General features: G+C 42.5%; 1 long non-coding RNA gene across 1 annotated transcript in view; it reads left to right on the forward strand.

The window, feature by feature from the left end:
• The window catches only part of LOC105370018 (uncharacterized), a 30,545-nt gene extending 13,232 nt beyond the window's left edge, over nt 1-17,313 (forward strand). Inside the window, exons 6-8 of the long non-coding RNA XR_945422.3 lie at nt 5,341-5,405; nt 16,515-16,653; nt 16,751-17,313. This is a non-coding gene — a long non-coding RNA (uncharacterized LOC105370018). The remainder of the gene's footprint in view (nt 1-5,340; nt 5,406-16,514; nt 16,654-16,750) is intronic.
• Nucleotides 17,314-18,184: the final 871 nt, after the last annotated feature.

Here is an 18,184-nt window from a genome sequence, read left to right on the forward strand (position 1 = left end):
CCTTTATTTATAGCTGTGGCTGTCTGACTTGGAAATTTCATGATTTTTTTTAAAGAAGATGTCTGACATTGATTCGGCAACTTTGGATTTTGCTAAAAAGCCTTTGAAACAAACAGATCTTGTCACCACCCTCATTTTATAAAAGAAATTTAATTCTTTATCTTTTATTTTATTTTTAGTATTTATTTTTTAAAGATTTTTTTTAAAAATAGAGATGGGGGTCTCCCTGTATTGCCCAAGATGGTCTCAAACTCCTAGGCTCAAGTGATCCTTCCACCTCAGCCTTGCAGAGTGCTGGTATTACAGGCATGAGCAACTGCACCCAGCCAAGAAACTTATTTAAACATGAGAGAAAGGGAAGGAAGTGCATGATTTCAAAATAAAGAATTATTTTAACAAACGAATTTAGTTCTATGAAAAATTATTACAAGGGTGGTTCTTATTTTTCCCTTGTTTCTGAGTCCTAGTAAAGAATTCATCACAGCAAAGCCCTGGTCCAGAGAGGGGAATATGAAAAATTTGTCATCTAATTCTTCAGGTCCTTACTCCATTACCACTTCTAGCCTGAGCTTCTGAAGTGTCTGAATCACCACCATCTCCCCAACAAATCCTGTCTCATGGTGAATGGTGTAAGACTATTTGATAGAGGACAGTGCAGAGCAGAGACCCTGCTCTTTCTCTCAAATAGTTTTGGTTCCTCATCCTTTGGTCTCTGTGCCATTGATGATTAAAGAAAGCCCTTAGAGTAGGCTTACCCTTTTCTGGAAGGTGAGGGCATTGTAGAGCCCCTTGCATTTTTGTGCCACTTACTTAGCACTAAAGGTAATCACTCAGCCTTCCAGGAAGACATTTTCTGTCCAATGTGGGGGAAAGAGGCTATGATATTCTTGATTTTTTATGTTGTAGTAGGCTCAATAAATACTTTTCAAGTCTCTATGGCTCAACCTTGCACTCTGATGTTAGCTCTTCCTTTTGGTCCTGAGAGTTTTCTTTGCTGAACATGAGCCTTGCCATGGTTGGCATTATGTTGCAGAATACAGCTGTTCCTTTAAACAATGGCAAGATGCAGTGGAGACTAAAGGTGGCTGAGTTCTGGGTCCCTTCCAGCCATGGGAGAGTTCTTGTGGCTCATCCGGAGCTGCTTTTGATGACTGCTCTTTTTAGAGCCCCTGGGAGAACTTGACCAAAATAAACAGCATATTCTTGGGTCAAGGTGCTAATCACAGACACCCTAGGAATTTAGGGGACAGAGATGTCTCAGGAGGCTGAATGCCTAGTTCTCAGACCCTCTGTCTGAGGGATAATGAATTCTCATTTGATCATCTGCTGTGTAAATCACCAACGATGGGGAGTTAATCATGCATATGAAATGAATCCCTTCTCTGAGTTAATGAGCACAGAGCTCAGAGCAGCATCTGTTTACTCCCTCTACTTTCACATCTCTGGCAGTTTGAACAATTAATTGTACCCAATAATCTCCCTTTGTTTTCAAGCACTAGGGAAAGAACCCTGTTCTCCCGAAAACACATCTTTCTACTGAGCAATGGGTAGGGAAACTTCTGCTCAGTGTCTTTACACATTAAAAGTGTTCTAAGAATCAGAGGATGTGTGTTTGCTTGTGTGTGTGTGTGTGAGAGAGAGAGAGAGAGAGGGAGAGAGAGAGAGAAGAGACAGAGGAGAGAGGAGAAGAAAATCAAGAAGAAAGAAAAATTTTCAAGTTTATTTTATGAGTATTGCATAATGATTCACACAATGTGCCAAGTTGCCAAGGGCTTCACTTGTGGGATCGTGTTTCATCACCACAGTTACAGATAGAAGTATTATTATTTACCTTTTATAGAGGAGAGCGCTGAGGTTCAGAGGGGTAAAGTCACTTGCCCAAGCCACTGGGCTAGGAAATGGGTGGGGAGGGATTGGAGCGCAGGCTGCTCTGACTCCAAGGCTTAGAGCTTTAGTTAGCCCTTCTACTCTACTCACCCTTTCCTTGCAGTGTAGACCTCACTCACCTTCAAGTCCCTGTCCTAATGCCTCTTCTCTGATCCCTCTAGGACAGCCCACAGGCAGAGGCTCTGAACTTGCCACTTAGCAGTATTGGGCAAGTCATTTCACTTCCCTGAGCTTCAATTTCCTCATTTTTCTGCTGGGAACAACCCCAATGCCTTTGTAGATGTTGTTGTGAGGATTAAATGAGATAGTACAGAGAGAGGGGTAGAGGAGGAGAGAGAGAGGGAGAGAGAGAGAGAGAACACAGAATCCTTTATTAGTAATACTCTTATTACTGTTCTTTATGAAGCACTTACTATATCCCAGGCACTTTGTTAAGTATTTTATATACAGTATGCATCTCTAAGTCTCACAACCTCCCTGGCAAGTAGATATTAATCAATCAATAACCAGTCAATCATTCAGCAAATATTTACTGAGTATCTTCTATGTTCGGGCATGTCTTGGTGCTAGGGCTAGAGTCTAGTTGGGATGGTAGACAATAAATAAAATGATATAATTAAATGCTGGTGAAAGTTAGACAGGGGAAGTACATGTGCTGTAAGAGCACCTGGTAAAGGGAGGGGGACCTGACCTATGTTGGGGGAAGGGTTATCAGAGATGTCTGTTTGGATAAAATGACGTTTCAGCTGAGCCTAGAGGATTGAGTAGAAGAAAGTCAAACCAAAGAAAAAGGTGGGGGAGAACATTCTGAGCAGAGAACAAGGTATGTTATGCTTATTTAACCAGGATATTTCCTATTTTAATCCAAAGATGTAACCAAATGTGGGTGGCATTAGGGTCTGTGGCACACTGTTGGAGCTGAGGGAAGGGAATTGTTTGAGGCAAGAATATGTCCTATTCAGATCACCTGGACTATTTCCATGCACATGACTATAAGGTCATCAGTTGATTTTTTGCAGTGAATATTCTGCTCTCGGTAACCTTAGAAAATCAAAATTAGAAGGAAACTTGGATGTCATCTGGGGATCAGAGAGTGCACAGAGATTGCACCTAATGTGGCAGCTGTTGTCAACTGGTAGCATCTGTGATATGGTTTGGCTGTGTCCCCACCCAAATCTCATCTTGAAGTGTAGCTTCCATAATCCCCATGTGTCGTGGGAGCCACCCGGTGGCAGGTAATTGAATCATGAGGGTGGGGTTTTCCCATGCTGTTCACATGATAGTAAGACTCACGACATCTGATGGTTTTATAAAGGGGAGTCCCCTTGCACATGCCCTCTTGCCTGCTACCATGTAAGATGTAGCTTTGCTCCTCATTTGCCTTCTGCCATGATTGTGAGGCCTCCCCAGCCATGTTGAACTGTGAGTCAAACTCTTTCCTTTATAAATTACCCAGTCTTGGGTATGTTTTTATTCGCAGCATGAGAACAGACTAATACAGTCTGGCTACACTTACCTGTTGGGAAGAGGCCCTATTGGTAGCAAAGAGTGGTGAGATTGATTAGTGATGACTGTTTTGGGCATGAAATCAGAGATTGGTGGCAGGTATCAAAAAAAGCTCTTTGGCATCCAGAGGTCCTTTTAGAGAGAAAACCATCTTTGTCTTGGATATATTTTTACAGGTTGTTTTAGGTGTTAAAGACAGGGCCTGATGGACATAAGCTATAACAAAATAGCAAAACAAAATAAGAGGTCAATTGTTCTGCCAAATGAATAAGAATTCAAGATCATGGATGAGCAGGAGAGGCAGAAAAGAGAAAGGAAGTGTAGGAGAAAAGAGGCTGAGCTACATGCTGGGTAGTGGAGCTTCAAAGAGAATGGAAGAGAACACGGGAAATTCCTTATGGTAGAGCAGACAAAGATTTCAAAAGTCAGAATACCTCATTTCCAATTTGTTGATCAAAACTGACAATTCTAGTCTTTCATACTTGCTGACACTTGTGTTGGTGGCATTTGGGGAAATAAAGGAATGGGAGCAGTGTTCAGTATGAGATGACATAATAAGGGAAAAGAAGAGAGCATGTAAGGTGCTTAAGTGTTGATCCACAAAAGGAACCAACTCAGCAAAACAGAGAATCCAGGCTGGATGTGGTGGCTCATGCCTGTAATTCCAGCAATTGGGGAAGCCGAAGTGAGAGCTTCAGCGGAGCCCAGGAATTCAAGAACAGCCTGGGCAACATAGTGAGACCTGTCTCTTCGGAAAAAAAAAATGGCTATGCACAGTGGCACACACCTATGGTTCCAGCTAATTTGGAGGCTGAGGTGAGAGGATCGCTTGAACCTGAGAAGTCAAGGATCATGCCACTGTACCCCAGTGTGGGCAACAGAGACAGACCCTGTCTTAAAGAGAGAGAGGAGAGAGAGAGAGAGAGAGAGAGAAAGAGAGAGAGAGAGAGAGAGAGAGAGAGAGAGAGAAAATCTGGATATAAAGAAATACAAGCTCCACCTTCACCCTTAAGTTTCCCTGGACCAGTTTGGAAAAGAACCTGTCTTCTGCTGCATGTGGGATGAGGGTCTGGGCTAATTTCTTTTGAATTTTAAAAAATAGGATACTACAAGGTGATGTATGTAAGATAGATACCTACCTGCTTCCCTGTTCCCTGCTATCCTCCTAATTTTACAGATGGGGAAACTGAGGCCCATACATCAGGAAGAAACCTAACGGAGGTTTCATCTGGTGACTGCCCAATGAGCCTTTTTCTGTGAGACTGTGGTAGGAGATACTAGGCAAGGTTAATGAGCCAACCCTTCCTGTCTGCCGTCATCCTTGGTCTGCAGCACTCAGCTCCATTTGGGCGAAATATCACAGACTCTCAGATGCACTGTTATTTTTAAAGGGAGAATTGTCAAAACTTAAATGAAGGCTGTTTAGTCATATGCATGCTTGTGTGTGTTGGCATATTTGGGCAGGTTACGGGGTATAGTTGGGAATCTGGGTATGACTGGAAGGGAAAGGGAAAGGAAGGGGGTTTCATGGTCCAATTGCTTGCTTTTAGTTTTTGCTGTAACCTTCCTCCCCAGAGGGGTCATTTCAGTAGAATGCCCTGAAACATTAAGTCTTGCATGTAAACAGTGGGTGGTCACTTAGTAATGGGAATCTAGGGGAGCCCAAAGGGCGGCCTGATGAAAAACTGGTTCCTCCATTTTCCTCCCTACAGTGCCTAACATTTCCATCATGAGGTACCCCCTTGGGATGAAGCATGGCTATGCAAATGTCTTTGCTAAGAAGGGAGCAAACTCTGTAATATCTACCAATGCTCTGTAAGGATTCATTATTGATAAGCCCTCAAAATGTACTGCTGTTTCTGTTTTCAAAATATTTGCATGTAGACATTGTTATTTGAGCCTCATCACATTTCTATGTCAAGAACAAATAATGTCCCCATTTTTCAGAGGAATAAACTGAGCCTTGGTCCTAGAAGATAGTGACTTGTCCGGGAGCAACCTAAAGAGCAGAGGTGAGAATCCAGGTCTCAGCATATAAACTGTCAGAGTATTAGATGATTAGTGTTTTTACCTTCAAACAGGATTACATTAAAATGTTTTGCAGTTAGATTTTGGTTGTGCGAGTGATAAATTTTTGTTGTAGAAAAATCAGAAAATGAAGAAAATCCAACAAAGAAACAAAACTTTAGCCATCATCCTACAAAGATTGTCTTATTTTCATTTTGGGGTATAACCTTCTTGTCTTCTTTTCCATAGCATTATGACTTTTTTTTTTTACAAAAATGGAATAAGAATATATAGAATTCCATGATGTGAATGTATCATTACTTACTTGACAAGCCATATGGTAGCAAGCATTTACTGAGCTTATTTGTTGAAAAGCAAAATGCCAGGACAGTGATGGATATATGAATGGATAAAGCATGGTTCTTATAATCCAGATTAACATGCTGCTGAGCTAGGCAGAGGCAGACAATTCTCATTTGTTCAAAACTAGATTGAATATCTGCTATGTTCCAGGCACTGTCCAAGGCATCAGGGATGCGTCTGAGATCAGTATAGAAAAGGTCTTATGAGGCTCTTTTATTGTTGGATGGAGACGGATGATAAGGAAATAAATGCAAGAGTAGATGGGTATGTGTTTATAAATATGATGAGTTGGTAATAGGTTTTATGAAGGAAAATAAAATGGGTTCAGGAGAGAGAATGAGGAATGACAAGACATTATTTTATTTTGTTTTGCTTTTGTTATTTTTAATTGATGCATAACAATTGTACACATTTAAGAGGGAAAATGTGATATTTCCATACATGGATGCAATGTGTAGTGATCAAATCAGGATAATTAGCATATCCATCACCTCAAACATTTATCATTTCTTTGTGTGGAAACCATTTAAAATCCACTCTTCTAGCTATTTGAAAATATACAATAAATTGTGCTTCATGATAGTCACCTTGTAGTACTGTAGAACACTAGAACTTATTTCTCCTACTAGTTGTACTTTTGTTTCCCTTAACTAACCTTAGCTATCCCCCCTCCTCCCATCCTTCCCCACCTCTAATAAAGACTATTCTATTCTCTAATTCTGTGAGATCTGTTTTGCAGCTTCCACATATGAGTGAGAATATGGGGTATTTATTTTTCTGTGCTTGGCTTATTTCACTTAACATAGTGTCCTTTGAGCTCATCCATGCTTCTGTGAATGATAGAATTGTGTTCGTTTTATGCCTAAATAGTATTCCACTGTGTATATAAACCACATTTTCTTCATCTGTTGATGGACAGCTAAGTAGATTCTATTATCTTGACTATTGTGAATACTGCTGCAATAGATAGGGGAGTCCAGATATCCCTTTGACATACTGATTTCCTTTCCTTTGGGCATATACCCAGAAGTGGGACTGCTAGGTCATGTGGTAGTTCTATTTTTAGTTTTTTGCGGAATGTCCATACTGTTCTCCATAGTGCCTGTACTAATTTACATTCCTACCAACAGTATATGAGTTCCCCTTTCTCTGCATCCTTTGAGTGAAGAATGAACCAGCAGCAAGTTCAAAGGAGGTGGGAAGGAGGTTGGTGCTGGGGAGCACCATAGGAGGAGAAGAGTGGAGGAGAGTTAGGTTTGCTTGTAGATACGTTAGGAATACCCAAAAGTATTGTGAGCAGAAAGAATGTTAGTGTGGTTGAAGAGGTAGCCTGGGACAAGGTTGTTTAGGACCTTGAAGGCCACAGTAAAATAGCTAAATGGTGGAGGGATGGTGAGCTTTAAGAGAGGCTTAAGCAGATGAGTGATATGAGCTTATGTCAATTTTCAAAGGTTCATTTTGGCCTCTGTAGAGACAGTGAACATGGTGAAAGGCAGTAAGAAAAGCCAGAAGACCAATTTGGAGGGTGCTGAAATTATCCAGGAGGGAGACAATGGTGGCTTGGACCAGGGCAGTAATGAAGGGGATGATGTGGGTTCCAGTTCAGAATATATGGTGAAGGTTGAACTCTCAGGACTTCCCAAAGAATTAGCTCTGGGAGTGAGAGATGGAAAATGATCAAGGATGATTGAGACTGGGTGATTAGTGGTCCCACAACTAAGGTGGAGAGGACCGTGGGAGGAGAAGAATGGATGAGAGTTAGAGGTTTGGTTGTAGATAGGTTAAAATCATTGTTAGACTGCCAAGGGGAGATCCTAATCACTCAGATATACAAGCCTGGAAGTAAGGGGACAAGTTGCAATTAAAAATGTAAATTTCAGGCCAGACATGGTGGTTCATGCTTGTAATCCCAGCGCTTTGGGAGGCTAAAGTGGGAAAATGGCTTGAGGTTAGGAGTTTGAGACCAGCCTGGCCAACATAGCAAGACCCTGTCTTTAAAAAAAAATTTGAAGTAGCTGGGCATGGTCCACACACCTGTAGTTCTAGCTACTTGGAAGCCTGAGGCGGGAGGATCTCTTGAGTCCAGGAATATGAGTCTGAAGTAAGCTATGATTACATCACTGCACTCCATCCTGGGCCATAGACTAAGACCCTATCTCTACAAAACAATAAAATAAGATATAAATCTCAGAGTCATCAGTGTATAGAAGCTCTTGAAAGCTATGGGACTGGATGGGAAAATGACTCTTTGGTGTGGGGTTGGGAGAAGGGAGGCTTGAGTTTCAATGGGGTTGGGGGATAGTAAGAATATGAAGACTACCTTCACTTAATTTGTGGTTGTGCTGAAGACGGGCTGGTTCTATATGCTTGATGATAATGGGATTGATCTTGATGAGAAAGTGGTCCCAATTTTACCTCTAGAGAAAGATAGAGGTGAGGAGCACTGAGCATTGAACAGAAGGTTATAAGACCCTGAGAACAAGACAGAGGGAAAGGCAGGAAATTAAGATAAAAAGGAGGCCAGGTCAGGAAGAAGAGTGGAAGAAGAAGAAGGACTAGGTTATATTCAAGTTGGCAAAAATGAGCCCAGGGAGGCTTGTCTCTGCAAATAGGCTGTGGCTTTAGGTTAATCACTGACACCTAGGGAGCCAGTCATGCTGGTTGGCACAGATGCTGACACAGTCCTTTCACATCTTCCAACAGAGTCAGGCTTTCCATTGCCTCCCTCCTTTGTCCATTAGTTGGCATGGATTTTGGTGCATCCTGTGAATACAGTCATTGCATCTTGCATTATTCACCTGCTGAGATACTACCCATTATTTTATATCTATGGATTTTAAAAAATGCTTCTGAGAACTTGATGCAAGTTTGTGTGTAAACAGCAAGCTCTAGGAGACCCCAAAGTGATTTCTCCTTCCTCCCACCTTTGTTTGTTTCTCCCTCCCACCCTTCTTCCTCCATCCTTGTATACATACATGCATGCATCCATCCTTCCACTATCCAGTTCTCAATCCTTTTAGCCAATCAATAACTCTTATTAAGCTCTTGTGTTTTGACAGGTTTTGGGCTAGGTGTCAAAGACATAAAGAAAATAAGATACAGCTACTCTAAAGGAAATAGGAAGGACAAGATTGCTGTGATCTGCTCTAGACAGGTAGTGATGTCTTACTTGTAATTCCCCAAAGCAAGTCAGTCCACATACTAGTTACATTGTAATTACTTGAAGACCTTTTAAAAATACATATTCCTGCACCCACCCCAGAATCAAAATCTTCCAGGGAGTTGATTTTGAAAAGGTCCCCAGGCCATTCTAATGCTTGGTCAGGTCTGGGAATTCAGCCAACTGAGGTTCAAGTGGGTTCTGAGTCTCAGTTGCCTCTGATGAAGAATGGTGTGATTTATAATTGTTCCACCACCTTGTGGCATTGTTAGAAGTAAATGAGGTTGCATTAGAGAAAACTCTTAGCACAGGAATGCTTCCTAGTGGGTCTTCTGGACATATGTGTGGAGGCTAAGTCCTCCTCAAGACTCAAAGAACCAGCAGCATCAGCACCACCTGGTTAGAAATGCAGAATCCCGGCCCCACCCAGGAAGAACCAAATCAGAATCTCCCTGGTGATTCACATTTACGTCTGAGTTGGCTGGTAGAAAGGGTAAGCGGCTAGTCCAGCTTGTCACTGAGGCAGTCACACCTGGGAGCAGATCGTCTCTATTAAGGAACACTAATGAAACATAAAAATGATTTCCTCGGTTGTAATTGTGGGATGCTGCTCTGGAGTTGTAACTCTGGGTTGCTCTGTTTGTGGGTTATTGAAGTGCCCATTGCACAGCATGGTGTGTCATTCCTGGAAGGCAGAGGCAATAGACAGGCATGGGAGCTCTGGATAACTCCATCTCCCTGGCTGAAGTGGTCCTCTCCTCTCTATTTGAAGAGTCACACCTGCCCCTCCCCACCAGGGCAGGCTGCTCCTCTAAAGACACTGTGAGTGTCACAGGGCACAGAGCAATGTCTTCTCCCAAGAATTGAAGCTAGATTCGGGGGAGTTCCTGTCTCTTAACACTTCTTGAACTTGAATGTGCACATGAACCATCTGAATTATCTAGGGATCATCTGAAAACACAGATTGGGATTCTGCACGTTTGGGGCAGGACCTGAGACATGTGCGTTTCTAATACACTCCCAGGCAATGCTGACACTTCAGATCCATGGACCACACTTTCATGAGGAAGACACCAGCACTACTCAGTAGCCTTCAAAGAATGCCAACTTTTCCTCCCACCCACAATGAATTAAATCAGAATTTCTGGAGGTAGAACCTGCACATGAGTTGGCTTCAGAAGCTCCACAGGTGATTCAGATATGTAGTGAGGATTGAGAACTGCTGATTTAAGAAAACTCTTTTTCTTTTCTTTCCCCTTCCCTTCTCCTTCCTTCCTTTCTCCCTTCCTTCCTTCCTTTCTTTCTTTCCTTCTTTCTTTCTTCCTTTCTTTCTTCTTCCTTCCTTCCTACCCTCCCTCCATCCCTCCCTTCCTTTCTTCCTCCCTCCCTTCCTTCCTTCTTCCTTCCCTCCCTCCCTTTTTTCCTTTTTCCTTCCCTCTTTTTTTCTCTCTTTCCTCCTTTTCTTCCTTCACTTTTTTTGGAAACATTGTGATACAGAGCAGACAGGTGAATTGAGAAAGAGCTGTCTGCTCCAATTAAAGGAATGATCATGGAGAGACTATTGATAGGAATACTCTCCTTCAAGAGAATCTCTCGGTTAAGGAAGTCTTTCCAGGAGTCTAGTTTGAATCCTGCATGCTGCAACTGAATTATGTCCTACTTTTATTTCTTCTCCCGTTTATGGGAATTCGAATTCTCCTGTTGTTCATGTCTAAAGAGACACAGCCTGCACAGATAGCCCTTGGCATGACCCACTTCTATCTCCTACATTCCCAAAGCTTGCTGGGATGACATGCAGTGAAAGTTTGAGGAGAAGGGAGAATGCATCTGCAAGACTTGGCACTCTGGGTCCCAAGACACAGAAGCCTAATTCAAAGATAATTAGGCCCCCAAAATGATTTATATTTGTTCATGTAACTGAAACATTGGCCATTCCAGCTGGATCCCTTGGGTCAAATGACATCCTCTGTAGCCTCCTCTCTCTGTTCCTCTCTGTCTCCTCCCATCCTTTCCCCTTCCCCCGTCTCAGCTCTTAGTTACTGCATGTTGGTTTCATTCTCAGGCAGGCTCTCCCTTTGTGATAACAAGAAGATAACCAGCAGCTCCAGGCTCATATCCTATTCTTTTAGAAAACCCGCAGTGGCTCAGGCCTATAATCCCAGCACTTTGGGAGGCCAAGGCGGATGGATCACCTGAGGTCAGGAGTTCAGGACCAGCCTGGCCAACATGGCAAAACTCCATTTCTACTAAAAAATACAAAAATTAGCCAGACGTGGTGGCGGAAGCCTATAATCCCAGCTACTCGAGAGGCTGAGGCAAGGAGAATTGTTTAAACCTGGGAGGCCAAGGTTGCAGTGAGCCAAGATTGCACCACTGCACTACAAGCTGGGCAACAGTGAGACTCTGTCTCAAAAAGAGAAGAGAAGAAAAGAAAACCCAAAAAACAAAATGGAGGTATTTCCCTTTCCTGGCATTTCCCGCAAATTCAAAGGATAGAGTCTTGTTTGTTGTGATTGGTTCATAATCCTATCATTCAGTCAATCAATAAGACCAGGGTGATGTGAACACCTGATTGGCCAGTTCGGGGCTATCCTATCTGCAGATATGGAGCCAGCCCCACCCACCCAAACCAGAAGGAGTCCTGGATGCTGAGCAGACCCTGCAAGATGCCCTGTGCAGCCTCCTAAATGCTCATAACCCACAGTCCTGGGGCAATCAGGCCTTGCCCAGCCCAGCATGTCATTCCTCTAGGGCCCTTCATAAACTCTTCTTCAGTGTTTATTGTGTGAGGAGTTTTCTGATAACTTTGCTCTCTGGAGAACACAGCAGAGAGACTCATTTCCAGCAGGTATGGAATTGAAAAGATGGTAGGAAGGGGAGCAGAGCACACAAACATATGGAGAGGTTTTTCCTTCCTGTCCTCGTGACCCCACATTTAATTTCAAAATAGACTTCTATTCACCCTCTGGGAGAGTGGCCAAGGGCGTGGGATGGAGGCTGAAGAGCACAACTCCTGGCTAATTTTCCTCCCAGGATTCCAGAATGGAATCAACTCTTCAGTTTTGAAAAGTGCAGTCTTATCCATGGACATGAGATGATTAAAGTACTATAGGGGTGGGAGGAGGCCCTCTGCTGTTTTTGAAAGGTTGTAAATTCAGATAATGTCAATTCCCACTTCAAACCTTCCAGCAGCTTCTCACCTGTCTTAGGGTCAAATCTAAACTCCTGACACATGAGGACCTGGCCCTGTGTCCACTCCATTCTGAATTTGTGACACATTGATCAAAATGCTGATTTTGTGATACACTGGTCAAAATACTGCAGCCCCACCTGCCCGCCTTCTGTTCCTTGGTGCGTCTCTGCCTCTTGTCTTAGGTGCTTCACATGTGCAATTCCCCTCCTTGGAGCTCTTTCTTCCCTTCTCACCTGGATTCTCACCCCAGCCTCGTTCTCTTCCTTGTTCACTTCTAAACTTTTAATTAAAATGCTGCATCTGGTGATAACCTCACCTGGTCACCCACCTCCAGTCTGAATTAGGCTGACCAGCATAACTCCCTGATTTTCCCTTTTCCAGCTCCCACGTAATTTGACCTTAAACATTTCTTGCACTCTCTATGACACTTCCATTGTTCTGTTTGACTCTAGGCTCCATGAGTATGGGAACCTTATCTGGTTTTGTTCATCAGTATGTCTCTTGGTCTTAGTTTGACCCTGCCACATAGTAGGTGCTCTGCAAGTAATTGCTGAATGAATGAATGAATGAATGAATGAGTCTGATGATGTTCCCTGTGTCTCTCAAATTTGTCTACACATAAAATTCAATTTGGGGGTCTTGTTAAAAATACAGCTTTCCTGAGCTGCGTTGCAGCAGCTCACTCCTGTAATCCCAGCACTTTGGGAAGCTGAGGCAGGAGGATGGTTTGAGCCCACGAGTTCGAGATCAGCCTGAGCAACAAAGTGAGACCCTGTCTCTTTAAAAAAATTGCAGACTTCCTAAACCCTTCTCTTGGATCTTCAGATGCAAAATATCAGTGGATCCTGGGAAAACCACTAGGTACTTTTAAAAAGGTTTGCCAGGGTTAGAAATAAACAGGGCGCCCAGAGAGGACCAGGGGCAAAGATAATTTTTTGTTTTAATTTAGTTTTCAATGAATCAGAGGAGTGAAAGAAAACATGAGCAAACAGTATTAAAAATTTAGCAATGGAAGGAGAGAGAGAAATGTTTGTTTGTAAGAATGCTAAGTCATGGTTGTCCTGAACATCATAAGCAGAACCCTAGCTAAGTAGATAGGGTTCAATTTGAGTTAGTTTGTGTGCTGCTTGCAGTGTGTGCTTGTTTCTATCTTGATGACAATTGGGTGATTTCTATACACAGAGAGCTAGGAAGTCCAATAATATTCTTTTGCTGGCTCTATCGCATTTCTGATAGAACCTCCCACTTCCATGCCCAGACACTGCATTCATAGTGTGATATACCTACCTTCCCTGCTGGTTAGAATATTTTCAGCTCCTTTCCCCACACTCTGACAGAATGGATTCAAGGAATTCAAACACACTGTAGCTTCCTTTTGTTCTGTGAACACAGGTAATTAAAAGCCCACCAGCTTTCTATGCTGGCAGTAGCATGGATTAGCTTATTATTTCTTGGCATGTTCTATTAGCAACTCACTCCTGAAAAAGAAACAAATAAACAAACAAATCAGCCTTCATCTTAACTGATAAACTTCTACCTTCTTGAGGTCAGGAAGTGTTTCTTCCATTTTTCAGATATCACCTTCATTAGAACTTTGCACACATTTACCACGGCTTGTCATTAATTAATACTAAGGATATGCGTTATTATTATTATGATACTTCATAGCATTTTTATGTCACTTTGCAGTTTGCCAACACATTTCTGTATTATTTTATGTAATTTTGCAAGTGACTCATAATTAGAAACCCTTTGGGTATACTTTAAACATACATTCCTAAGACCTACTCCAGAAAGCCTATACGAATGGAATCTGAATGTTTAGCACTCTCTCGGGTGATTTTTAGGATTAGCCAGAAAGGGGGCCCACCAGTGTGGTGGCTAGGTATCTGGGCTTGGGAATCAGCCTGAGCTGGGATTATATCCTGGCCTCTCTAGGACCGTATACACATTACTACAGCTCGCCAAGCCCTAGAGTTGACCCATCTGTAAAATGGGGCTGATGAGACCAATATCAGGGGGATTAAATGAGAGCACATGGGTATAGAATGTGCTCAGTAAGCAGCACCATCTGCAATAATGTATTTCTTTCTTCTAGTGGCATAAAATAGCAGCTAAGGACCTACATTTGGGGTTCAAACCCTGTCTCTTCCATTTATAACCTAAATTACTACTGAGTCTCAGTCTCCTCATCTGTAAAATGGGGATAATGGACATATTTACCTCGAAGAATTGTTTTGAGGATTAAACTAATTGATTATGAAAAGTGGCACTTTAGAACAAAATCTGGCACACCCTGAACTCTGTATCAGGGCTAGGTATGGCAATTTTTACATCCATTTTATGAAAGAGGATGCATATACCTGCTAGGAGGGGAAATAAGACTGCAAAGCCTGTCTTCTCTGCCCAAATGCTGGGCTCTTCCCAATTGACAAAGCTAACTGTTGATGCTAACCTTTCCTAAGACTCAAAAGCAGGACAATGAATGCTCATCTCTGTTTTTTCCCTTGTGGGGAGAGAAAGGATCAAGTCTTTACCACACTCCATTGCCAGTTCTCCTTCCCTCCTGCAGCCCTTCTTTGTTTTCCTATCCCAGAGCCAGGCCCCATCACCACTTTTCAGAAATGCCATCTTACCGGGGCACCACCCTCAGAGGCCCTAAAAGACAGAGTGATTTGGGATTCTCATCTCATCTCCATTTGTCTGCTAGAGTCTGGGCAGACAGCAGAACACAGTCATCTAATTAGAAGTCTCGTCTCCTCTGGGGCTCGGGGCTACTGGTGCATGGCTCCCACATTTCCCAGGCAGGGATGGGATGCCTCATCAGCTAGGCTAGCAGTGGAGGCTTCCCCACAAAGGCCTGAGAGGCAAGAGTGTTTCCCAAACCCTGGATTAGGAAGTCAGGAGCCTGGATATTGCAGACCCAGGACCAGGGTTTACATGGATGTGGCTGCTGAGAAGGACATCACCCTGTCTCTCTGAGCCTCACTGTCTTTATCTGTATGGTAGAATTATCATTGTACCTACCTCCCAGGCTTGTTGGGCTTATGTATATAAAGTCATGACCTCAAGATCCCCTGACCTCTACCCCATTCCTTTAATGTCCCCCTTGCTTTTTCTCCTCCCTTTCTAAACTCTTTATTGGTATGGTTAGAGAGGAAGAATATAGCAGTGATTGAGAACATGCACATTGGAGTGACCTGCTTAACTATATATTTGGTCCCTGACTTTTTCAGCTATGATATCTTGAGCACATCACTTCACCTCACTGAAGCCCAATTTCCTCATCTATAAATTGGAGATGATCATCCTGGACCCTCCTTGTATGATTGTTGTGATTGTAAAGTGGGGCATATAGTAAGTGCTCAATAATTATCCTCTGTCATTATCATGAAGCAAATATGGGGATGCACTCTTACTTCTCATTTACTATGTGGATGATAGAGCAATGTTCTCTTCCAGGAACCTCATCATCTATGTGCTTTGACAACCTCAGGACTCAGCTTGTGGGGGCCCTCCTCTGCAAAGCTTTTCCTGAGAGTTGTCCTCCTCCTAACCTGTGTTCAGCTTTCCTTTCAGCCCTCTGAGCTTCCTCCATCATAGGGCTTTGCATATGGCATTCTTTAAGTCTGTCTTCTGTGCTGGACTTGGATTTCTTTGGGACAGGGCTCATGCATTAATACCTGTGTTTTTGGTACCTTGGGCAGCACCTCGGACAGCACCTTGCATCTATTTGGAACTTTGTTGAAAGAATGAAGACACTAAGAGCTTAAAGCAGTGTTTCTCAAAGCAATTTGACCATGCAAAATACATTTTACATGGCAAAACTGGTGATGCATGTGTGCACACACACACACGGTGGGAGATAAATGCTTATATCGGTTTGATATTTGTTTCACATTTCATTACACCCAATGCACTCTGATAATTCCTCCCTTCTCCCCTCCCCTCCTCTTCTCATCTATTTCATTTTTAAATGTCTGGGATCTACTAAATTCATTTCAGAACTAACTGTTCTGAGTTGAGAAGCAGTATCTTGTAATGCTAAGAGCATGAACCACTGGAAAAAGTTAGGCCAGGGTTCAGATTCCAAAACCATAGCTTACCAATTATGTATCCTAAGAACATCACTTTAACTCTATAAACCTCAATTTATTTATCTGTGAAATGGAGCTAATAATTGTACCTGCTTCGTAGGTTTCTTGTGAGAAGTTAATGAGATAATAGGAATAAAGCAGTAAGCATAGAGCTTGGTATGTATTGAGTCTTTAACAAATGGTTGTCGTTATCAGAATCATTCATGGAACTCTTGTATGACTTTACTCTTTTCCCTCAAGACCTTCCCAAGTCTCGGTATTCTCTTAATCTTTGTCCTCGGTCTCATTCACTTCCCCATAGGCCACTGACAATGATCTCACCACTCTCAGAAGCATAAGAATGAGCCATGGATTCACAGTGGTGTAGCCTGAGGAGGTGATTTGACGGAAGACAGCAGAAATCTCATCACTGACCCAGGAGGTGAAGGAAATACCCAGTGGTATGGAATCTGCCCTTTCCCTGATTCCTCCTGATGCTAGTGGGAAGTATTTAAAGATCTCAATTAATTGCCACATCTAATTTAATCCCTCCTCCAGTGACTCGATGGAGCCCAAAGACTTTCCTCCCCAGCTCTTCTCCCTCCGCCTCAGCAATTTCAAGGTCCAGGACCCTGGCCAGCATGAGAGGAGAGAGTGGAAACTAAGACATAAATCAAACTTACATCAGGAATACAGTCACCTATCACCAGGACCTCAGGATGCCTGGTCATCCCTCCAAGAACCATGAGCACTGTTAGAGAAAAGTCACAAAAACAATTCAACATTATTCCAATTCTTGCTTGCCATCCTGCATTTCTTGGCCTGGAGATTCCCTTACCCTCAAAGTCAATGCTTCTGGAGTAAGCAGAGCAGTACCAAATGGCTAAGGGCCCCTCTTGGAGGCTGGACCTATATCACAACAGTATATGCATGTGATACCTCCTAGTATGGTGCTTAGGAGTCAGGCAGATCTGGTTCTAACACAAACTCTGCCACCAACCAGCTGTGTGCCCTTGGTCCAGTAAGTTAACTTCTGTTTCTCCATTTCCCCTTTGGAATTTTAACAATATCAAAATACTACCTATTATATTATACAACAAAATAAAATAATGCACTTTAAACATCTGGTATCTTTGTTTCCTCAGTAAATTTCAGAGTCATCCTTATTATTGCTGTTACTGTTGTTGTTTTAATTAACAATAATTGCAAATAAGCACTTTAGCTTCTGAATTTAATGCTAGAATATCTTTTAACATGAAGAATTCTTGACCTCCACTCTCATCATCTCCTTTTGACCCGGGAGAACCCAGTTGTTCCTGTGGACTTGCAATCTTGTTATTTCCTAGGCAAGGGCACTAGATGCACTGACATTTGCTTGAACTTAAGCCTGCAAGGAAGGAAGAAGCAGTTCTTTCCTTCTGAATACCAGATAGTTTCTAACTGCTGCTGAATAGGGGTAGAATATAAATAGCGGGTCAGAGAAAAAATACCCTCGTTTCTTTTTTTTTTCTTCTTCTCTGGCCTCAAATCTTTCTCTCATCTCCCAGAAATGACTGATTTCACTGCTATCCTGCCACATACCTTGCACTGTGAGTTCCTTAAGGCCAGATGTGATCACTTCTTACTCTATTTCAATGTCCAGATCAGTGTGTAGCACTTAACAGAAGCTACATATATTGGGGGCTGAATCTGTGACCCCTGCTTATCTGGCCTTTGCTTTCTCTCCTCCATCACTTCCCCCAACTCAGACACATTTTTATTTAACTAATTAGTTTAAAGAGCAGAAATTTAGCAAGCTGTATCAGCTATTTCTCCCCCTCGCTGATGCTGAATTTTAGTAAATTCAGAGATGTTTCCTTCATAACTTTGAAGGAAAGAATCTCATTCTCTGATCTTGGTTAGCAATGAAAGAACCAGAGGTCAGAAGACACAGCATAAAGAATCAGAGCAATTTGAGCACCCATGTAACTACCACTCTGGACAAAAAAGAAG

This window comes from Homo sapiens, chromosome 12 (assembly GCF_000001405.40).
Source record: "Homo sapiens chromosome 12, GRCh38.p14 Primary Assembly".
Taxonomy (NCBI): domain Eukaryota; kingdom Metazoa; phylum Chordata; class Mammalia; order Primates; family Hominidae; genus Homo; species Homo sapiens.